The following is a 24,466-nucleotide window of genomic DNA, read 5'->3' on the forward strand; positions in this document are numbered from 1 at the left end:
CTAAGATTTTTATTTTGTATACATTTCGAAATATGATACCAAGCTTACTGGTCTAATTTTAAACCTAGAAAAATTAAACCACAAAATGCTAATAATATATTTATTGAAACCTACTGAAAAGAACCAGTTCTGTACCTCAGCAGCCCTTATCCTGGCTACATATAGAATCACCTGAGAAGCTTAAACAAAATCTATGTCTCAGCCTTATCCCAGGCCAGTTAACACCCCCAGGTAATTCTAATGGCCATCCATGCTGTCTTGCTGACTTGCTGACTTACTGTTGTGCTGTTGTGTTTGGTAGTTTCTAACAGCTATTCTGCCTTAGGCGGGGCACAAGTACTGGGACAGGTGGTGGCCTTGTGTAATAGCAGAGGATGCAAATACTATTGAAAAGCTCTGCCTTCTTAAACACATGGTGGCCACTTGGCTCAGTGGGTGGTTACTGTTGTGGGCCCAACTTGCAGAAACAGTCTAACTATAAACTATTAATGTTTGCTTTTAGCATGTTAAATAGCTATTTTTCATGTTTTACAAATTAGTTTACAGTTATAGGATTTAGATTTTTATTAAAAGGTGTCTAGTGAGAATGAGAGTATAGTACCATAGCTGGATATAAGATAAATGTACAAAAAAGTACTGTCAGGAAGCTTTACTTTTCCTAGTTTCTGACAGTTGTGGTTACATTCTGTATCCAAATCTAGAGTACCTAGTAACAACATGAAGCCTGGAGAGAGTGAATATACAAATAAATGGAAATATGCCATGATCCTGGAAACCACCAGAATTCCTCTATTTAATTTATAAATTTAGTTCATTTGCAATGAAAATTTTAATAAAATGTGATAAAATTATTCCAGTGTTTTTGTGGTAGAATATTGATGAGATAATAATGGACAGATAGAAGAATGCAAAAGGATCCAATCTCATCCAATGTTTTTACATTACAAAGCGAGAATAATTAAACATTATGAAGCTAAATAGTGTAAGAATTTGTTATTATCAAAGACTAACTTGAAAATACCACAGGAATAGCCATATCATTGGAAGAAAAGTAGGAGCTACCCCATAAGCATGTAATGCATGACAAAATAATGAGGAAGGAAATTCCACATCTATATGAAATTATATATATATAATATATATAATAATATGTAATATATATAATATATATTTTATATATATAAAATAAACTGGTTGTTTGGAAGCAAAATCAGTTTATATTCATTCCTAGTGTCTTGAATTTCTATTACTCATTCTCGAGCAGAATAATAGGGTGAATGGCTGCAAGAAAAGGAGAATAAGCTGTTGTCTAGCAATTTAAATTTATAACAGGATATCTTATTTTATGTATCTTATTTCCAAGGCTGTGGACAGCTAGTTTTAAAAATTGCAATGGTGTGGCCAGGGAAAGAATAATTTAGTCAAAGTTTTCTGGGTTGGCTAAGAACAATGGTGTTTTTAACCTGTACTATTTTGTACTATTTTATTGTAATTTTGAATTACTGGTTAATTATTAACTGATGAAATTAATAGAAGCTTGTGTGCAGTATACTTCAGTTCTTTATTCTCCTGTACCGTATAATTGTGATTATGCAGAGATTACAATCTTATTGATTTCAAAAAAACTTTTTTTTTCTAAAGGTCTTTTAAGTCTTTTACTAGGATAATTATGACCATTTAACTTTGAAAATACATAGCAAAATATTAAGACAAAGAAATTCTGGCATTCTATCTCTGGCCTTTCTGATGTATAACTTAAAAGATATATGTTTAGTCAATGTGTTATGAACTTTTGCTTTGTTTTTTGTTTTGTTTTGTTTTGTTTTTAATATCAGGCTGCCTATGTGTTATCCAAATACCAGTACTTTGTCTGCCCAGTGGAATACCGAAGTGATGTAAACTCCTTCGTGACAGAATGTGAGCCCTCAGAACTTTTCCAGCTTCAGACTTACTCACTTCCACCCTTTCTAAAGGCAGTCTTGAGACAGGTACAGTAAAAGTTCAAGATAAACATGGTTAGAGATCTTCCACTCTGAAGATTAAGCTTCCTTTATTATTTATTTATTTATTTAATTAATTTATTGTTGTTTTGAGACAGAGTTTCCCTCTGTTGCCCAGGCTGGAGTGTAGTGGCGTAATCTCAACTTACTGCAACCTTTGCTCAAGTGATTCTTAGGCCTCAGCCTCCTGAGTAGCTGGGATTACAGGCGCTCGCCACCACATCTCGCTAAATTTTGTATTTTAAGTAGAGACGGGTGTTGCTATGTTGGCCAATCTGGTCTCAAACTCCTGGTCTCAAGTGATCCGCCTGCTTCGGCTTCCCAAGGTGCTGGGATTACAAGCATGAGCCATTGTGCCTGGCCTGAAGATTAATTAAGCTTTCTTTAAAAGTGGGATTCAGATTTGTACAAGAAACTGATTTCTGTAGAATTTTTAATTCTTTGATATACCAGTGGTTTTAGTGTTAGCTTAAATCAAATGGATGAGAACGGGTTACAAATCAAATGGATCAAATGGTTTAGAATGTGTTTCTCATATCACTGACATCAGTTGACACAATTTAAAACTTAAAATTCACCAGTTTACCGAGTCCTTGATTTTTAGAGGACATTTATTATGGACAGAAAGTTGCTGCTTCTACAAATCAGTTTTCCTTCCAAATACAGTGCCTTCCTTGAAAGGTATCTTGGAGGCCTTACACTAGAGGATGTTGACATGCCCTCCAGTGGAACCCTCCTGATCTGTGTCATCAGGTCTGGTGAGTGGCTGGTTAAAGTGAGGAATCAAATAATAGCATGTATGTCTGTATCTTTGTGTGCACACATGTACAGCTTTGTATCTGAATCATTTTACATAAAATCCATAATTTTTGAGGAGTAGCTTAACAAATTATTTCTCTCTGAGTGCTCAGTACATGGTTTCCAAGAACTTTTTCAATGTCCAAGCCATCTGTTACCTGCTATAAAACTTTTTATACTGCTAGTGTTTGATTAGGAGCAAGGCTATTTATTGCTTTGAGAACAGGTCAAAAAATGGATGTCTCAGCCGGGCACATTGGCTTATGCCTGTAATCCCAACACTTTGGGAGGCCAAGGCAGGTGGATCACCTGATGCCAGGAGTTCCAGACCAGCCTGACCAAAAGGTGAAACCCATGTCTACTAAACATAAAAAATTAGCCAGTCGTGGTGGCATACACCTGTAATTCCAGCTACTTTGGGAAGCTGAGGCAGGAGAATCACTTGAACCTGGGAGGCGGAGGTTGCGGTGAGCCGAGATTGCACCATTGCACTCTAGCCTGGGCAACAAGAGTGAAACTCTGCCTCAAAAAAAAAAAAAAAAAATTGGTGCCTCAGACATCTTTCTTCAACCAAAATGGGTGCATTTTGCACTGTCTATAAATTGTAGTTTCAGATTATTTAAAAAGGAGCAAGAACTACAAATTTGCAAAATAATTTGACTACAAAATTCTTCTCAGCCTTTATGATTGTCTCCCCAAATCTTTAGTGATTGTCTCACTGATGCTCATTTTGATAATAATCTTTAAGCAACTTATTTTTGTGTTTTTCCACAGCATTCATCTTAATTTTAGAGAAAAGTCCAACTTTTCCCTTATTTTATCATATAAAATTAAGGTGAAATAAAATACAATATTAAATTATATAATTACAGCAACAAAGCATTACTAGTTTAAAAAAATTTGGAAAATAACACAGCTGATTCTTTGTAAGAAGTAAAGTTCCTAGACAACCTGGAAGGTAGACTACCACGCTGCAAGATTTCAGTGTGCCAGTTGCCTGTCATTATTCTTACAGAGAGAAGGGAAATTGCTGGCTAAGTAGAGGATGGTACAGAAGGCTTAAATAGACTTTTCTTCCTTGATCCTTAAAGTTTGAAAAATTAACAAAAATGTGGTGCGTGCTTTGACTTACTATTTACACAATGGTTCTTAGATCAGGTGGTATGCTCAAATACAATTTCAGTGAAATTAGCCCCTCTCCTCCCCTTCTTTCTCCTCTTTAGGAAAGAGTGAGCTTGTACCCTTTCCAGATCCACAGCATTGCACTGTCAACCTTTGCATCTTTAATTGGCCCATTTGGAGGCTTCTTTGCTAGTGGATTCAAAAGAGCCTTCAAAATCAAGGTGTGTGTTTAGATTCTTTGTTATATTATTAGAGAATATAATTAGAGAATGTAACCTAGTTGGAATTTGGTCCGCTCATGATCTACATTAAGCCCCTAGGCCACAACTTTTATATCCTATTTGTTTCGACCCCACAGAAATGCTGCCACGTTGATCTGAATGTATTCTTTCTTTTTAGGTTTGTCATACCATGTTAATACATTTTAAGTGTCATGTCAGCTTCCTTTATAGACATGGCATGTGTCCTTTAGTGTTGGAATAGACCCAGAATCTTGGTCTTTCAAGTGCTCACCCAAGAATCCAGCCGTGAATCATCTAAAGTTTAGTGTTTTACTACAGTCTCACTTGAAGGGACATGCAGAAGAACCTTTGGCTATGTAACTGTCCATTCTGCTAAGTCAGGTGTCATCACACTCTTTCTGTAAAGGGCAAACAATACATTTATTAGGATGTGCAGACCATATATTCTATCAAAGCTTCTCAACCCTGAACCCTGCTGTTACAGTGAGAAAGCCCCCCGTGGACAATATGTCAATGAATGGGCATGGCTGGATTTAATAAAACTTTATTTATAAAAATAGGTTGTGGCCTGGATCTGATCTGTGGGACATACTTTTCTGACCCCTGTTCCAGAGACCTAAAATTATCCCTGTGTATTAGGTTAGATCATCATAAAGTGACATGTTATCTCAGCAATTTCATCTCAGCTTCCCTCACATGGCTGAGGCACCATCTGGGGTTAGAAAGTGGCTATGGAAGTTGGGGTGGTCAGGGAAAGCCTTTCTGAGGAGGTGGCACTTAAGTAGAGATTTGAGAAAAGAACTCCTCCAGAGAAAACTAAGAAGAGAGTTCCAGAGTGTACAGAGGAGTGGAAGAGGTTAATTAGCCTGTTAGAAGGTGAGCAAGAACAGTGTGGCTGTGGTTGAGAGTAGGAGATGAGACCGCAGAGTTTGGTGGGACCAGATCACACGCGGCCTACGGGGTCAGGGAATAAGTGAACTCAGCGAGCATTTGCCAGTGGGAAGCTACTATGTAAGGTGCAATGCAGTATACAAAAATATACAAGATGTTGTTCCTGTTCTAAAGATGCTCACCACCTACTAGGGCAGACAATACACTTCCCCAGAGAACTACAGCAACAGCTGTGCAGGATAAGTATCTTGCGAAGGCTGTAATAGCAGAGTGGCATTGAGTTACTGTGGCTCTTTTATGCTTTGACTAGTAAGGAAGAGAAAGAGAGAAATGGGTTGGCAAAAATTAACCAAAGACTTTTTCAGTAATTATTTTAAAAAGAAAAATGTTATATTTAGAATGGTATTTTCTTTAATGGTCTCCAATCCAAGATTTTTTGTTAAATGGTGAGTTTTTTTTGCATGTTGGAAACCAAACAGCTATTGCTGTTGTAGTTTAGATATTTTTAGGGTGCCTGAGTGAACTAGAAGAGCAGTTAGTCATGTCCATTTCCTGGGCACCCAGACATGTGAATCTACCTGTAAAGGGTCAGTTTGCAGAGGCTTACTACCATTCCCTCAGTGTGGCCATTTAATGGACTAATGTGTCCCATATGGGCTCACTGTAATTTTATTTTTTACTCTAACACTTAAAAAAAGAAGAAGAAATGTTTATCATAGTAGTAAAATGTTTATTTCAGAGTAAGAACTATTAGGATAAACAAGTTAGAACCAGTTGTACATCTTTTAGCAGCACTAAAATAGCTCCCCAAACAGCTTGTGGTTAAAAAGAAAGCTAGGCTGTAACAAAATTAGATTAGTAATAGCTAAGATAATTTTTATTTAGAAAAAGTTTTATTAACGAAAAAAAGTAAGTGCTAGATTTAATTAACGTTTGATGAATGAATGCTGTGGGTCAATTCAGAAATCATTCTAAAAGAAGCATGTATTTGGAAGATGTGGTTTTAATCTGCTGGATGTGTTCTAATAAGTTTTTATTTAGTGAAAAAAATCCAATAGTAATGTATTTTCGTTAGAGTGAGTCCATGACGCCAAAGAGACACAGATAGGAATTTTATAGCAGGTGATTTTTTGAAAATTTGCTAATATATTTGTTTGTTTCTAAAGGATTTTGCAAATACCATTCCTGGACATGGTGGGATAATGGACAGATTTGATTGTCAGTATTTGATGGCAACTTTTGTACATGTGTACATCACAAGTTTTATAAGGTACTTTTACACTTGAGACATTTTTTAGATGATTTCTTTGAGTTCTCATTTCCATCAACATTAGTTTGAGTAAGTTAACTTTTTCCGTCAATGGTAATCTACAATATTAAAGTGAATGGTGGCCCCTGGAATTAGAGTCTTGAGCAAGATGGTTAACTTGTAATTGTTTTACCTACATTTGAACAACTTAAAAAAAGATAGTATTTGTCATGGTCCTGGACCACATTGAAGACCCAATTAATGTGGATGGTATAGGATTTGAAACTTGAGGAGATTTGATTTCTCAACTGTGGGCATTGCAATGATCATGAATACTAAGAGTTAAAAAGGGAGATAACGAAATGCATCCAGTCTACCAATTATTACTTGAGTGCCTGCCATATTGTAGAATGTTCTAGGGACAAATATGGCAGAGAACAAAACAAACCAAATCTCTGCCCCCATAGCTACTTGTTTGGAAGTTGAAGAAAGAATGATGAGAAAGAGACAATAAACAAATAAATATAGTTTGTTAGATGGTTGTAAGTGTCACACAGAAAAATAAAGCAGGCCGAGGGGATCATGCCTGTGTGTGTAGGGGCTGGCTGGTGGATGGGTGGATGAATATTGCCATTTTAGAAAGGGTGGTTTATTCTTGTTATTAAACCTTAATGTTTTGGATCTGCCTTGAAATACCAGTGTGAGTGTGAAGGCTTAACATCAACTGCATGTTAACTTTATTTTCTGTGGTCTCTACTGGGGGCCCAGAAGGCAGAATGCTTATTAATAGTACCTGAGCTGTAGAAAACATGGATTTCCTTCATAGTACTTGGAAGGAAATTCATATTTAGCAATCCCTAAATACACATTTTAAATATGTACCACAGTAGTGTGAGAATTTTTATATTAACTATTTTTGAGAGACAGTCCTGATAGCGAGTTTATCAATTTCATTAATCTTTTCAAAAATATCAACTCCAGGCTTTGTTAATTTTCTCTACTGTAAATTTTTTACCTCATTGATTTCTCCTCTCATCTTTCATTTCTCTGCCTTTTTTAAATGTTCAATATGCTGTTCTTTTTTTAATTCTGGAGATAAGCTTAGATTATTGATTTTTAGCCTTCTTATCTAATTTATCCATTGAAGACTATTAAGTATCACTTTATCCTCTTCCTGCAAGTTGTGATATTTGTATTTTCATTATTTACATGTTTTCTGATTTCCAGTATTATATCTTCTTTAACACATGGGTTATTTAGAAGCATATTCATTAGTTTTCAAACAAATGGAGATTTTTTCACTTTCCTCCCTTAATTCCACTGTGGTCGGAAAACATACTCTATGATTTGAGTATTTTATAATTTTTGAGATCTATTCTGTGGTACAGCATGTTATCTATTCTAGTACATGCTCCATGGGCAAAGGTGTATTCTGTAGTTTTGGGTTGTAGTTTTGTCTGTGTCAGTTAGGTGAGGTTTAATTAAATCTTCTGTACTGATTTTTGTTTATTTGTTTTTGTGTTTGTTTGGTCCGCTTGTTCTATCAGTTACTAAGAGAGCTTTGTTAAAGTCTCTCATTGTGATTGTAAATGTATTTTTTTATTTGTAGTTCTACCAATTTTTGGTTTATATATTTTGAGGTTGTATTAGGTATGTACAAATTTAGGATTGTCATATCTCTCCATTGAATTGATCCTTTTGTCATTATATAATGTCTGTCTTTACTGCTTGCCTTAAAGCGTACTGTGTTGAATATTAAAATAGCAATATCAGCTTTCTTTTGGTCAGTGTTTGCATGTTATTTCTTTGTCTCTCCTTTTATTTTTAACATTCCCTTTTCCTTATATTTAATGTGTTTCTTTTTTCTAGTAAGCATATAGCTGATTTTTTTCCCTGTTTTATTTATAAGACAGTTGATAATCTTTATCCTTTTAATGGGACTATTTAACTTATTTGCATATTATTTATTGATCTATTTGGGTATTAGTAATTAGTGGTTAAATCCTTAAAACTTTGTTTTCAGAATATGGCAGCTTTTTAGGGCATTAACTCATATGCTTTCTTTAAAAAAAAAATGCTGTCCTCTCAGTAGGGAGGTGTCATGCTGAGCCATGTTGTCCACCATTTGAAAGCAGCTATTTAGACTGTTAGAAGACACTGAGAGTGCCAGGATGCAGCTAGCTGGGAGCACCTGCTGACACAATTTTGCATTTAGCTGAACTTGCTAAAGCAGCCTTCCTTTTCTCTGTTGGTCTCTACTTGGGGTTTATGCTGTGAAGTTGCTGACTCTTTTAAAGAAATGAAATAAGGCGAACAGTGTCCTGACCTGAGTGTGAAAGTTTTTTGGCAGATGAGTTGAGCCACGTGCATGAAGATGACCCTTGGTGGGATGGCTCATCTGGGCTCTTGTGCAATTTGTTAAGTCAAAGATTTTCAGAGTAAATAGTTCCTCTGCTCATCCTCATTGTGGTAACACTAAATAGCAAACATTTCTTTGTTGCTGGGATTTCTACTTTCTATAATTCAATGTGAACAATCTTTACTGTAAGGCATACATTATTTACCCACATAAATGTCTTTCTTAGAATTCTATGCCATCTCTATACATGACTTGTATGTTGCTTTTTCCCATTGGATTTTAAAGCAGATCTGCTTTTATTTTGTTTTTTATATTGGAGTTCACCTAGGACTGTCTTTGAACAAAGTCCACGGCACCTGTATCACTGGTAAGGGGCTTCAGTGCTAGGCTCAGGACTTTTGTGTTCTGACTCTGAATATTCATAACTCCCTGGAGATATTTTTCAACAAAATACCTTTCATCATCTGAAGTTTCTTGGAAGTTAAAAATTTCAATTATATTTTCATGCCCTCTTTTTGGTTTGTCCTATGTTCACCAGGCTCCTTTCCTTACAGAATAGTTTTTGTGTCTCATTCAATCTCAAGATTTGCCATTTATCCCCACCTTTAACTTTGGTTGCCCTTTCAAGAGCTTTTGTAGAACTTAGATCTGCACCCCTTCAATTGACTTACATTGCTCTTGTGTTTTGTGTTTGTGCATTCTTTCTCCCTCTCTGCTGTAACCCTTGACACTAACATTGCACATTAAAGTGAGCTATTATCAAGAGCTATTTTAATTCTGTAAAGATTCCTACTCTACACTTAAAGGAATGGTTTGTTTTAAATTGGAGGTATGTGCTTCACTTATCCCTATTAAAATAACACGAACTTGTCTTCTTTGCCTTTTATCATTAGGGGCCCAAATCCCAGCAAAGTGCTACAGCAGTTGTTGGTGCTTCAACCTGAACAGCAGTTAAATATATATAAAACCCTGAAGACTCATCTCATTGAGAAAGGAATCCTACAACCCACCTTGAAGGTATAACTGGATCCAGAGAGGGAAGGACTGACAAGAAGGAATTATTCAGAAAAACACTGACAGATGTTTTATAAATTGTACAGAAAAATAGTTAAAAATGCAATAGGTTGAAGTTTTGGAGATATGTTTCTCTCTGAAATTACTGTGAATATTTAACAAACACTTACTTGATCTATGTTATGAAATAAGTAGCAAATTGCCAGCAAAATGTCTTGTACCTTTTCTAAAGTGTATTTTCTGATGTGAACTTCCTTCCCCTTACTTGCTAGGTTTCATAATTTAAAAGACTGGTATTTAAAAGAGTCAAACACTATAAAATGAGTAAGTTGACGATGTTTTAAGATTGCACCTGGCAGTGTGCCTTTTTGCACAAATATTTACTTTTGCACTTGGAGCTGCTTTTAATTTTAGCAAAATGTTTTATGCAAGGCACAATAGGAAGTCAGTTCTCCTGCACTTCCTCCTCATGTAGTCTGGAGTACTTTCTAAAGGGCTTAGTTGGATTTAAAAAAAAAAAAAAAAGATTGTCTACTTTTCAAAGAAGTAACCATTTGCCAGGGGAAAACATTCTGCTTTTAGGTAGTTTCAAAATTCAGGGGAGGGAGCCTGAAATTTTTGCCATGATTGGTTTGTTAGAAAGAGCAGGCATCAGACTACTTCTGATAAAATTGTTTGGAAGGTCACGACCTCGCAAAAACTTTTCAAGAGCAACAAGGAAGAATTCTGCTGTGAAGAACACAGTGTACGGATCCTCCGCATATTATCTCAACAGAGGACAGTAGCTCAGGAGGCAGCTTCAAACGGTGACCTGTGGCCTGGGCCATCTCTTCGTCATGTGCTTCACTTTTCCCTGTTTCCCTGTGAACTGGCTTCCATGGTTCTGTAGGGTAGTGAGTCGGGGTTGTGGCTGCAGCAGAGCAGGAGATGCTTGCCCGAGTGGGAGCAACCCACCCCCGTGTCCCCAATGCCTCACTCCTGGCTTCTAGTGCAGCCCTTTGTAGACTCACCTCGCAAGAAGGAAGATCTGCCTGGAGACCTGATCCCAGTCCAGCTTTTTGACCATAGGTCATCTTTGTCCCCTTGCTCCTTTGCATCATGTCATAAAATTTGAGGATATCAGCTGATTATTTTTTCTTCCAAGAATGAAAATCAAGCAGAATTGATTCCTACACGAAAAAAAAGCACACGAATGCCAAACCTTTCCTTTGGTGGACTGGACACTAACCAGATGAGAGTAAATTTCTTATCCGTGGACGTATGTAAGCTACTGCTGCTGTGTGCTCTCCACAGCCATATTTATTGTATTAAACAATCAGCACTAAACCTTCAAAAATTGCCCAGTGTTCCTAGTTAAATGTTCAGAGGGGAGAAATAGATATATTTTAAATAATGTTTTGCTAATGAAAAGAGTAAATATTTTTGTTTAAATCAGCAAAAACTTTCCATTATTTTATATTTCCGTCTACTATACCTAAAACAAAAGATTGCCGTTATACCTGGGTTCCACTGATGCAGTCAGCCAGCACCTCCTCACATGCACACATGATTAGACATAGGTGCACTCGGTACCAAGAGTCCATTTTATGGTCCAGCATATACTCCATTGATTCATCATCACTGCATGTGTTCAGCCAGTGTATCTCACACTATCCATACAAATCTAAAATTGATACTGGAAATGTTATTATAGGAGGCAGTGATCGCATTTAAAATCAGGCCACCTACAAGTTTAATTTTCAACATCTCATGTTTTTATTTGTCCCATTACAGCCTCAAATGTTGGTCATAAAAAAAATTTAGGCTACCAAAGTTTAAAGAATAAAATGAAAATTTTATAAGAACTTACATTAAAAACTCAGTAGTTTGCATGAGTAAGAACTCCTTGAGATACACAGATCCCCCCACATTTGTATTTAAAATAATTGGTGAGGCATTGAAATCCAGAATTATAAGAAAGCATTACTGAATATGTGTGTTATAAAATCAATATTATTATAAACAAAATAGGAAGCTAGAAATATTTGGGATCACAGTAATAGCTTTTCTCAAATATACTTTTAGAATTGAATGTACATTATCCTATATGTAAAAAAGCAAATTATTAATTTTAATGGAGCTCTCGATTGACCTTTTTAGCATACTTTTATAGCATGTATATTAAAATAGAATATATTTTAGCAAAAGATTGCCATAAAACCCTGACTTGGCTCATTTTGATATTTGCACTGTGAAGAGGGCTTAAATTCCAATGTAGCAATGTGGTGGCAGACAAATGAAAAACTAGGAAGTTCTTTCACAGTAATGCCTAGTTGTTCCAAATTTGCTATATTTGGAGGTGCTCTACTGGTACTTCCTGCTTGACTCTCTGACCTGTGGGATGCACATTCTTCCTCAGCGCTTTTTCCTTGTTGTGGTGACGTACATTCACTATCTGAGAGTGAAAGACCACACACACCCCTCTTTTTAAAATTATTGTATCTCTTCCTTTTCACTTTGGTTTGAACAAAGATAGTGTCACCTTGTTCCGTGAAAAAGAAAAAGCATAAACAGTGTATATTTAGGGTATATGGGTGATAGCTTATGATGTGTGTCAATCAGTTCTCTGAATCTTTTACTGAAACTGAGACAGGAAAATAAAACTGAAACAAATCATATTTTGACTTTGTTGTGCCATTTTCTCATTGGAGAAGAAATATTCAACCAGTGTTTACAAAATAATGATGGGTATATGTAAGTATTATATCGTGTCTATTCCATCACCAGCACCTACAGTGAAATCTTCAGGGCTGGGGATAAAATAAGTTCTGGTGATTACCAAACATCTGTATTTGTTGAGAGGCAATGTCCTCTTAATACAAAGAGTACTGAACTTTTATGGTATTAGCACAGTTTGTAATTACCTGTGTATTTTTGTGAATCTCTGAATGATGTGTGCCCCTTACTAGAGCTTTAAGCTATGCAGAGGCCAGATGAAGTCTGTTTGGGTTGGCCGCTGCATACCCAGTGTCTGGCATGATGCCTGCTCTCTGTAGGCCCTCCAGCTTCTGAAATGCACAAGCTTGGAGCTTGGTCTAAAGACCCAGCTGTACACATTGCCTCTTGTCTCTAGGGCATCTCCTGTCCCCTTCCCCAGACCTTTTATTTTGCAGAGTTCTAAGGTGGGCCTCATTATTCCTAGCCAATAGGGTTGTTTTAAGGATTCAGTGAAAACTCATATTGTCCAGCATTAAGTAGCTGATTAGTAATTCTTAAGTTTCCTTCCCTCCTTCCTGTCTGCTCCTCTTCCATTGCCTGTCTGCAGTGGGAAACGACAGGTTATAGGACTGAGCAGAAAACTAACCACCGCTTTGGCCATGTCTGCTTTAGGTGGTGGGTAACGGAAGTGTTCCATGAATGATAGACAAACCGTTGATCCACTTCAGCAAACCCGAAATGTCTACCTGACCCAGCACTGTGCTTTGTTCTCGCATGAAGAAAAACCTTAGAACTAGTAGTTTTCTGCCTAGTCTTCAGGTCAGACAGGTACAGAAGTAATGTCATTTGAAGTGGATATTGATCAGAGTGATGACAGATACATAAACCAGGTGTGTGGGAACACAGGTGACCACCGTCTGACCTCCATAAGACCTGTCTTTCCTGACCATAGTCCATAGCCAGATCTTTCTGCCCCCCTCTTGAAACTTACAAAGTTTAAAATTCATTCCTTGAAGAGGGGCTGTAAAGATCTGGGAATCTTTAGTAGCTGCAAAGAAAAATCAGGTCTAGATAATTTAACCAAAATCAGAAGCCATTCCTACCTTAATCTCATCGTTTTCCTGTACAGAAACGGAGAACCTTCTTAAATCATCAGATAGGCATCAATAATGATTTAGTAAAAGTTGATGAATGGAACATTTCCTGATGATGGGCAAAGTGAGTTTCCAGAAGGAATGGAGAGAATCCAGCCTGTTCTCTACTGTGTACAAAAGATAGGGCTGGTGAAGCAAGAGCCTTGTCACTCAAGAGAGCGAAAGAATTATTGAGGGAGAGTGCACCCTAAGGATCGCATTGTCCTCTAGTGGAAGTGAAATTTCAAACTGCTCTCTCTCAACTTGTAACATGAACAGGGTATAGGACTTGGAGTTTAACTCTCAGACTTTCTGCTATGCATCTGACTTGAGTTTAATGTGTCCAGATAATTTTCTTTTTTCTTTTCTTTTTCTTTCTTGAGACAGGGTCTCGCTCTGTTGCCCCAGGCTGGCGTGCAGTGGCATGATCACGGCTCATTGCAGTCTCAACCTCCCAGGCTCAAGCGATCATCCCACCTTTTAGCCTCCTGAGTAGCTGGGACTACAGGCACATGCCACCATGCTTGGCTAATTTTTTTTTTTTTTTTGGTAGAGATGGGGTTTCACCGCATTGCCCAGGCTGGTCTCCAATTTTTGACCGCAAATGAGCTGCCTGCCTCTGCCTCCCAAAGTGCTGAGATTACAAGCATGACCTGGCCTGGATGATTTTCTGTTCGACAATTCAAGCTTCAGATGAGGCCTAGGCAAGTGATGAGTTTGGGGAACATTCTTGAGTAATCTATTAAATATATTTTTCATTGGTTTTAGTAAATCTCAAGAAGTTGTGAAGAAAAGGAAACAGAGGCTTCAGCTAGTCCAGGTAAGGCAGATACATATGAATTGTCAGAAATTCCATTTGTTTTTTCCCCCAACAGCTTTACTGAGATATAATTTACATACCATAACATTGTGCCACCACCACCAAATCCAGTTTGAGAGCACTTCCATGATCTTCCAAAAAGTTTCCTGGTGCCCATTTGCAGTTAATCCCCACTCCAAGCCTCAGCCTTTGGCAACCACTGGTCTGCTTCCTGTCTGTGTGATATTTCACATAAATTGAATTATACAGTATGTTTTGCACCTGGCATGTTTTTGCATGTATTAGCACTTCTCTCCTGTTTAATATGTTTTGCTAACTCATCAGTTGATGAACATTTGGGTTATTTCCAGTTCGAGGCCCTTATGAAGAATGTTACTATGAATGTGTGTAGACATACATGTCTTTGTGCAGAAATTTCTTCATTTCTCTCAGGTAGATGGCTAGGGGAGGAATTGCTAGATTGTATGGTAAGTTTCTTTTAAAGAGATAACTTGCTGGGCACAGTGGCTCAGGCCTGTAATCCCAGCACTTCGGGAGGCCGAGGCAGGTGAATCACCTGGGGTCAGGAGTTCAAGACCAGCCTGGCAAACATGGCGAGACCCCGTCTCTACTAAAAATACAAAAATTATCTGGGCATGGTGGCACGCTCCTGTAATCCCAGCTACTTGGGAGGCTGAGGCAGGAGAATCGCTAGAACCTGGGAGACAGAAGTTGCAGTGAGCCGAGATTGCGCCATTGCACCCCAGCCTGGGTGACAGAGCAAGACTCTGGCTCAAAAAAAAAAAAAGAAAGAAAGAAAGAAAAACAAACTGTTTTCTAAAGTAGCTATACAATCTTACATTCTTGCTTGTGATATGCAACGGTTGTAGTTTATCTGCATCTTTACCCAAACCTGCCATCATCTGTCTTTTAAATTATAGACATTCTAGCTGATGGATAGAGGTATTTCATTGTGATTTTCATTTGCATTTCTCTAATGGGTAGTGGTGGTGTGTCTTTTCATGTGCTTTATTTCTCTTCTGTATGTCTTCTTTGATAAAAATATTCATATCTTTTTGCCCATTTTTAATTAATTTGAGACAGGGTCTTGCTCTGTCACCAAAGCCGGAGTGCAGTGGCGTGTTCTGGGCTCACTGCAAATTCTGCCTCCCAGGCTCAAGAGATCCTCTTACTTCAGCCTCCTGAGTAGCTAGGATTACAGGTGCCCACCACCATGCCCAGCTAATTTTTGTATTTTTTTGTAGAGATGCGGTTTTGCCATGTTGGCCAGGGTGGTCTCAAACTCCTGGGCTCAAGTGATCCACCTGCTTTGACCTCCCAAAGTGCTGGGATTACAGGCATGAGCCACTGCATCCAGCCTCTTTTGCCCATTTTTAAATGGCATTATTTTCCTTCTTATTGAGTTGTAAGAAACCTTATCAGATATATAACTTGCAAATATTTTCTCTCAGGCTTTGGCTTGTCTTTTCTTAATGGTGTCTTTTGAAGTTTAACATCTTTTAAATTTGATGATGTCCAATTAATTAACTTTGTCTCTTGAGGCTCCTATGTCCAGCCTCAGAGGCAACCAGTAATGGAAGTGTTGCCCAGGTCTCCTCTGCACCCACGTGTGGCCTCATCTAGGAAAGCGCCTGGCCCAACCACACAGTTCCCAGCTTGTGGTACCATTAGCCCTCCCCTCTCATCCTCTGAGATTGTCACTTCCACTGACTTCTCTGGGTATGGGTATTGTCCACTGTTGCAAATTGAGCAAGTCCCATTGGACCATCGGAGTCCTCAGAGTCTGTCCTGCCCTGGCTAAAGCTCTAACCCAGCTGAGCTGGTGGGGGCACATGTGCAGCCCTAGGAAAGGATTCCACAAACACCCACTGTGCTCCAGTTTTTCAAGCATAAACCTTTTTCATAGTGTATACCTTTGTTCAATTTCTACAGTGCAGAAACATACATTTTGTCCAGCTTTTAATAGATGCTTTTTGGGGAGAGGATTTGCCACCCCTACTCAGACATAGCTGGAAGTCCCACCTTGACAGTTCTTCTTGATAGCAGGAAGAGAAGGACCAGATCTTAATCCAAATCCAAATATGATGACATCACTGCTCCTCAGCTGAGGAGTAGTGACCAAGTGTATACACTAATATTAAAACATAAAAGCGAGGCCAAAATAACTTATGGAAGTTCTAAGTGAGAGCCCTCACTGAAGGAAGGGGCAGCTTGCTCCCTTGCCCCATTGAGCTCTGGCCCCCAGGAAAGCAAAGGCAGGAAGAGGGCTTCCTACTGATCGTGGCCCCCTCCATCTTTTTCACAATACATAGCACTTGTCGGCACCCTGAAAAGGCGACTCAGTTCTAAGATCCAGCTTTCAGGAATTTCAAGAGGGTACGTTTTCTTTGAATGTAATATATACTGCTAAAAGTATTAATTACCACCACCCCCAGAACCTCAATCATTCACTAAATAATGGATATCATATGCCCACTAAACATGGATATAGAACCATATTTGAATGAGACATCATTTTAGTATTTGAAATAACTAAATATATCCTGTTCCCTCAAAAGAATGTGCAGATTAGCTGGAGAGATTGTAGAAGGTGCTGTGATTGTGGTCACCTCAGGAAGGGTTGGAGCTCTAACCTGGGCTGGAGCTAGCAGGGAGTGAGGCAAGGTGGTAGGAAAAGTCCAGGTGGGATCAGAGACCCCGGCGCATTCTGAGGCTGCTAGAAGAGGCTGTCACTGTCACTACTTTCTCACCAGATACCTTCTTGAAAGTATTGGAAAGTGACCTGTCCCCAAATAAGAGTGACTTACATTTTAATGAGCGCTTGAAGGGGGCACAGAGGGCATACAGTTTGGTTGGTGCTGTTCCCTGAGAATAAAAACTGATTGGATACATTGCTGGTTTGAATGTAAAATGATGCAATGGCTTTGGAAAACCGTCTGAGAGCTGCTCAAAATGTAAAACGGAGTTACCATATGATCCAGCAAGCCCATTTCTTGGTATATATCTAAGAGAAATGTAAACATTCATCCGTACGAAAACCTGTACATGAATGTTTACAACATCATGATTCACAATAGTAAAAAAGTGGAAACAGCCTAAACACCATGGCTGAATGGATGAATAAGATGTAGTCTATCCATACAATGGGCTACTACTTGGAAATCAAGAGGCATGAAACACTGATAATGTTGTGATACAGATGAAGCTCAAAAAGGTTAAAAGTGAAATAAACCATTCACAAAAGACCACATATTGCATGATTCCATTAGATAAAATGTTCAGATTGGGCAACTCTATAGACAAAGTGGGTCAGTGGTTGGTAGAGGCTGGGGGCAGGAGGAGACTAGGGAGTAACTGCTAATGGTAAGGGGTTTCTTTTTGGGTGATGAAAATGTTCTGAAATTAGATTGTGACAATGGTGATGTATTAGTCTGTTTTCATGCTGCTGATAAAGACATACCCGAGACTGTGAAGAAAAAGAGGTTTAATTGGACTTACAGTTCCACCTGGCTGGAGAGGCCTCAGAATCATGGCGGAAGGTGAAAGGCACTTCTTACATGGTGGTGGCAAGAGAAAATGAGAGAGAAGCAAAAGTGGAAACCCCAGATGATAAACCCATCAGATTTCGTGAGAATTACTATCAATCACGAGAATAGCATGGGAAAGAGCAGCCCCCATGATTCAGTTACCTCCCCTGGGTCCCTCCCACAACACATGGGAATTCTGGGAGATACAATTCAAGTTGAGATTTGGGTGAGGACATAGCCAAACCATATCATTCCACCACTGGCCCCTCCAAATCTCATGTCCTCACGTTACAAAACCAATCATGCCTTCCCAACAGTCCCCAAAGTCTTAACTCATTTCACCATTAACCTAAAAGTCAACAGTCCAAAGTCTCATTTGAGACAAGGCAAGTTCCTTCTGCCTATGAGCTTGTAAAATCAATAGCAAGTTAGTTACTTCCTAGATACAGTGGGGGTACAGGTATTGGGTAAATACAGCCATTCCAAATGGAAGAAATTGGCCAAAACAAAGGGGTTACAGGGCCCTTGCAAGTCTGAAATCCAGCAGGGCAGTCAAGTTTTTGTTTTTGTTTTTGTTTTTGAGACAGAGTTTCGCTCTTGTTGCCTAGGCTGGAATGCAATGGCGTGATCTTGGCTCACTGCAACCTCTGCCTCCCAGGCTCAAGCAGTTCTCCTGCCTCAGGCTCCCAAGTAGCTGGGATTACAGCTGCCTGCCACCACATCCAGCTAATTTTTTGTATTTTTAGTAGAGACGAAGTTTCACCATGTTGACCAGGCTGGTCTCAAACACCTGACCTCAGGTGATCCATCTGCTTCAGCCTCCCAAAGTGCTGGGATTGCAGGCATGAGCCACCACACCTGGCTGGCAGTCAAGTTTTAAAGCTCCAAAATGATCTCCTTTGACTCCATGTCTCACATCCAGGTCATGCTGATTCAAGAGGTGGGTTCCCATGGTCTTGGGCAGCCCTGCCCCTGTGGCTTTGCAGGGTACAGCCTCCCACCTGGCTGCTTTCACAGGCTAGTGTTGAGTGTCTGTGGCTTTTCCAGGTGCATGGTGCAAACTGTTGGTTAGTGGATCTACCATTCTGGGGTCTGGAGGACAGTGGCCCTCTTCTCACAGCTCCACTGGGCAGTGCCCCAGTAGGGACTCTGTGTGGGGGCTCTGATCCCACATTTTCCTTCTGCACTGCCCTAGCAGAGGTTCTCCATGAGGACCCCGCCCCTGCAGCAAACTTTTGCTGGCACATCCAGGTGTTTCCATACATCTTCTGAAATCTGGGCAGAGGTTCCCAAACTCAATTCTTGACTTCTGCGCACCCACAGGCTCAACACCATATGGAACCTGCCAAGGCTTGGAGCTTCCACCCTCTGAAGCCACAGCCTGAGGTATACATTGGCCCTTTCAGCCACAGCTGGAGCAGCTTGGACAGAGGGCACCAAGTCCCTGGGCTGCATACAGCATGGGGACCCTGGGTCTGGCCCATGGAACCACTTTTTCCTCCTAGGCCTCCAGGCCTGTGATGGGAGGGGTTGCTGTGAAGGTCTCTGACATGGCCTGTAGCCATTTACCCCATTGTCTTGGGGATTAACATTAGGCTCCTGCTACTTATGCAAATTTCTGTAGCCGGCTTGAATTTCTCCCCAGAAAATGGGTTTTTCTTTTCTATTCCATAGTCTGGCTGCAATTTTTCCAAACTTTTATGCTCTGCTTCCCTTATAAAGCTGAATGCCTTTAACAGTACCCAAGTCATGTTTTGAATGCTTTGCTGCCTAGAAATTTCTGCCAGATACCCTAAATCATCTTTCTCAAGTTCAAAGTTTCACAGATCTCTAGGGCAGGGGCAGAATGCTGCCAGTCTCTTTGCTAAAACTTAACAAGAGTCACCTTTACTCCACTTCCCAACACATTCCTCATCTCTGTCTGAGAACACCTCAGCCTGGACTTTATTGTCCATATCACTATCAGCATTTTGGGCTAAGCCACTGAACAAGTCTTCAGGAAGTTCCAAACTTTCCCACATTCTCCTGCTTCTTCTGAGCCCTCCAAATTGTTTCAACCTCTGTCTCTTACCTAGTTCCAAAATAGTTTCCACATTTTGGGTATCTTTTCAGCAACGCCCCACTCTACTGGTACCAATTTACTGTATTAGTCTGTTTTCTGCTGCTGATAAAGGCATACTGGAGACTGAAAAGAAAAAGAGGTTTAATTGGACCTACAGTTCCACATGGCTGGGGAGGCCTCAGAATCATGGCAGGAGGTGAAAGGCACTTCTTACATGGTGGCTGCATGAGAAAATGAGAGAGAAGCAAAAGCAGAAACCCCTGATAAACCCATCAGATCTCGTGGGACTTAATCACTCATGAGAAGAGCATGGGAAAGACCAGCCCCCATGATTCAATTACTCCCCGCTGGGTCCCTCCCACAACATGTGGGAATTTTGGGAGATACAATTCAAGTTGAGATTTGGGTGGGAACACAGCCAAACCATATCAGGTGGCAAAACTCTGAATATACCAAAACATACTGAATTGTAGACTTGATGATTTTTACAGTAAGTTAATTATGTATCAAAGTTGTTAAAATATCTGATTGGAGAATCTGTAATGATGGGGCAGGGATGGGATGGGGGAGTATTCTAGGACTGGGTATGGGACAGGGAAGGGCTGCCAGCTGACCCCAAATGGGAACCCCACAATAGGTCCAGTAGCCCCTCCTGGATCTGTCTGCTAGGCAGGGTTGAGGGGTGGGGGCTGCCCTGGAATATTTCATCCTCCCCAGTTAGGCTGGACTAGGAAAAGGAGGGGAAGAGGCTTTCTTCTCTGGCATTGCTACGAAGACCCGGTGGCCTCCATCCTGGGGTGCTGGGTGGGTGATTCCATAGGCAGAGGGTGCCTTGCTCAAGGTAACTTCAAGGAATGAGGAACTTTCAATGTTTAAGACCAAACCCTAGCTGGGTGTGGTGGCTCACACCAGTAATTCCAGCACTTTGGGAGGCCAAGGTGGGAGGATCGCTTGAGTCCAGGAGTTTGAGACCAGCTTGGGCAATATAATGAGACCTCATCTATTAAAAAAAAAAAATTAACTGGGCATGGTGAATGTGGTTCCAGCAACTCAGGAGGATGAGGCAGGAGGATGGCTTAAGCCTGAGAGGTCAAGGCTGCAGTGAGCCGTGGATAGCGCCACTGCACTCCAGCCTGGGTGAGAGAGACCCTGTCTCAAAAAATAAAGAATAATAAAAACCAAACCCCAGTGAGCATTTCAAGCACATGTGTTCAGGCATGTGGTATATGAAGGCTCCAATTCAACACAAGAAAGATGATGTAAGATGTTTACAAAAACAGATTGCATTACAGTTGAGGGCAAGCCAAGGGCTGCCTCTTATTCATTCAACACATCTATTGAGCAGCCACTCTGTCAGATACAGTTTTAGAACCCCATGCAGCAGTGAGTGAAACAGACAAAAGTATCCGTGGTCATGTAGCTTACACTTTGCTAGGGAGACACAAATAAATAGTAGCATAGCACATTGTGGAGGGTTTCAGAGAAGGGTGATTATGAGGAAGTCAGAGGGAGGGAAATTGCAATTGTAAATACTGTAGGTTGGTCAAGGGAGGCCTCACTTACAAGGTGACATTTGAGGAAAGACTTGGAGAAGGTGAGGGAGGAAGAGGAGCACACCTGGAGTAGGATCCTTGCAGGTAGAGAGCAGAGCCAGGGAATGGCCCTGCAGCAGAGGAGGCCCTAGCCCAGGATGGAGCAGAAGGTGTGAGGGGTAAGAAGGTGAGGAGCCCTGCAGGGCTTGACACAGAATGGGCAATTGCAGCACACGCACAGTGACTGCTGTGTCACAAAACCCAATCACAACACCCAGTCCTCAAACTAAGGGGGGAACGATGTTAAAAGAATTCACTCACAGTATATCACAGCAAACATAAAGGCTGGACAAGAGTCCACATTTAAAAGAGGAAGAAGAAAATCAATGGCATGACACCTATGCAAAAGGCAGGCAGGCAAGAAGGCAGGACAAAAGTTTGCAAAAGACCAGGAATGCAGTGGCGGGTCAGGGGGTGGGGGCAGTGGAGTGAACAAGGGGGAATAGGGGAGAACCTTTAGGAAGGCCTGGTATCATACAACAGTAATTCAAAAAAGGACAAAGATGAGATAACAATGATATGAAAATCTGGAGCGCAGAGCAAAGAAAACATATTGTGGAAGAAAGTATTACTGAATTAGAAACAGTAAGGAATGGAATACACTTGCTGAAAATCTAATTACAGATACCTGTGTGAAGGCAAGCCTCTCATTTATAGGCCGGAAAGTTCTTGGAGAGGGTACTTACATCATTTTAAAAAATCATCTTCAAGGCCCAGCTAAGTATGTATTAGCACAAACACAGATTGCTACCTTAGAAGGAAAAAGACATCCACATTCGCAGATTTGAACTTGAACCATAGCACACTTGATAACATTGCTTTAGGAGAACTTTGTTTCTTTTTTCTTCTTGGCAGAATCGGCCAGCAGCAGACTCAAAGGATCCTCAAGTTTATAACCAAAGACTGCTTAGTTGACCTTTGCTCCATGGTGGATTTCTTGAGAATCAGTTTGCAAAGGAGCAGCTTCCTTTTATGAAGGGAAACTTTATGCAGGGAAATCACATTTTTAGGATATAGCTTTTGTTTGAAGTTTGTAGTAGGGCCTGAGGGCAAGACCCTAAACAAGTTGTTTTTCTTTAACTCTGTCCTCTGCACTGGAATGCAGCTTGCAACTCTTCTTTGCCTTTGTTGAGCAGGAAGCATGATAGCTGAAGGCCAAGGTTGAAGTTCGGATGCTTTATCTTCTTGATAAAGAAGGGCATAATTATGCACGGATAATATTGAAATAACATCCAAAGTACACTTGCACTGTAGTCACCTAAAAGAAAATTGGGAAATACTAACTGGGAGTTGTTTGTAAAGAGCCTTGGCCTGGGTGTCAGAGGCTTAGGAGCAGAGCTGGGAATTCTACTTAAAAAGTCTACTTTGGACTTGATGACTTTGAATAGCCCTTCCCACTGTAGCATTCTGCCTCCTGTATATCTGACTGAAGGTGAACTCCCTGCCATTGGCGTTCATTTGGCATTCAGATGTTTCAGTGCATCATCCCTTTTATGTTCGTATTTCCAAGTTAACACTGGAATGTACTGACAACACATTTGTCAGGCACTACCCTTCCTATATATATTACCACATCGAATCCTTATAACAATTCTCTGGGGGCAGGTATCCTAATACAAATTTTCCATATAAGGAAACTCAGACCTAGAGTGGCTAAGTCACTCACCTGAGAGCACACAGTAAGTGGTAGAATGGGAGCTTAGCCCCTAGACTGACTCTCCTGATAGTTTATTATACTAGTTAGAACTGTATCTAATATTAAAAGATTCGTATTAGCAGTTTCTTTTATATTATCAAAATTTTAGAGTCTTGAATAGAAATAATAATGTGATTTTAAAAGTCCTTATTTGAAACCCCAACATGCTTTTGAGCTGTAGAGGTGGTATCCCAGTAGCTGGGGGTAGCCGCCAAAACACTTCAGTGTGATAGGGCCTGGTCTTGCTCTCAGGAGGTTTCAATGGGAGCCCAGTTGAAAGCACTGGATTAGTGATTAGGAATATCATTACTGAATGAGATTGCATGCATGCTACCTTACAATTTAGGTAGCCTCATCTCATGTCTTCTTCTTGGACCAGTGGTTCTCAAGGGGTTTCCAGGCCCCCAGGAGTCCGGAGACCCTTTTAGAGGGTCTGCAAGGTTTTCATAGTACTACTAAAACACTACCCTTTTTGCTGCATTGATATTTTTATTGAGGTACAAAAGCAGTGGTGGGTAGAACTGTTGGAACCTTAGTATGGTGGCACCAAACTACTAGTAGTAGTGATCATATTCTTCATAACCAAACACTTGCAGTAAAAACACAAGTGCCTCTTTGACTTAAGAATGACCTTGGAGAAGCAATAAAAATTATTACTTTTATTAAATCTTGGTCCTTAAGTAGAGTGACACAAGATGAGAAGTACCCATAAAGCACCTGCATACTGAAGTACAACATTTGTCTCAAAGAGAAGCACTTGTGTGACTGAATTGTGAGCTGAATTCTCTGCCTTTCTCATGGAATACTATTTTTATTGAAAGAACAACTGACAAGCTATGGTTCTATGGATGGTATGTTCTCAAATATTAACAAAGTGAGCCTATCCCTTCAAAGAAAACAGCAGACAGAATTTATTGCCAATGATAAAATTTTAGGTTTTAAGCAAAAATAAGAATTTGTTGTAGAATTTGTGTCTGTCACTATGACTTAAAATTTTCTGATACTGCTGGTGGTATTTTAATGTATATGATAATGTGATTTTTTTGATATTATATAATGAAATATGTCAACATTTAGAAGTTCTACATATACTGTTTCTGTCTCTGGTGCTTGAATCAGGATTTAAAAATAATTTTCTAAATGATCAATGCAAGATGCTGTAAAATTATGGATGTGTAAAAAAATAAATTCAAAGTGCAAGATAGACCCATGGATTTTAGTGTCATAATATTAAAAGTTCATTGGCATCATTTCAGAGTCCACA

General features: G+C 39.8%; 1 protein-coding gene and 1 long non-coding RNA gene across 7 annotated transcripts in view, besides 1 other annotated feature; both read left to right on the forward strand.

Moving 5' to 3' along the window:
* CDS1 (CDP-diacylglycerol synthase 1) overlaps window positions 1-12,332 on the forward strand; it is a 68,208-nt gene extending 55,876 nt beyond the window's left edge. For 2 of the 6 annotated variants that reach the window (NM_001263.4, XM_017007648.3), the window contains 4 exons: window positions 1,836-1,988; window positions 4,022-4,141; window positions 6,220-6,323; window positions 9,555-12,332. In NM_001263.4, coding sequence (NP_001254.2) covers window positions 1,836-1,988; window positions 4,022-4,141; window positions 6,220-6,323; window positions 9,555-9,684 — 507 coding nt within the window. In that variant the 3' untranslated portion in view covers window positions 9,685-12,332. The remainder of the gene's footprint in view (window positions 1-1,835; window positions 1,989-4,021; window positions 4,142-6,219; window positions 6,324-9,554) is intronic. The other 4 variants (XM_005262687.4, XM_017007649.3, XM_017007650.3 and 1 more) reach the window with 2 other exon arrangements.
* Window positions 8,314-8,608: a silencer, noted in NCBI's record as "tiled region #8979; K562 Repressive non-DNase unmatched - State 24:Quies". NCBI's record gives its function as "represses a minimal TATA promoter and a strong SV40 promoter by Sharpr-MPRA in K562 cells {active_cell/tissue: K562}" and the evidence as "EXISTENCE:reporter gene assay evidence [ECO:0000049][PMID:27701403]".
* Window positions 12,333-14,086: 1,754 nt separating the features above from the next.
* Window positions 14,087-24,408, forward strand: LOC124900854 (uncharacterized). Its single transcript, XR_007058462.1, has 2 exons — window positions 14,087-14,325; window positions 22,362-24,408. It is a non-coding gene; the product is annotated as an uncharacterized LOC124900854 (long non-coding RNA).
* Window positions 24,409-24,466: the final 58 nt, after the last annotated feature.

The sequence above is a fragment of the Homo sapiens genome, chromosome 4, assembly GCF_000001405.40.
Source record: "Homo sapiens chromosome 4, GRCh38.p14 Primary Assembly".
Classification (NCBI taxonomy): Eukaryota; Metazoa; Chordata; class Mammalia; order Primates; family Hominidae; genus Homo; species Homo sapiens.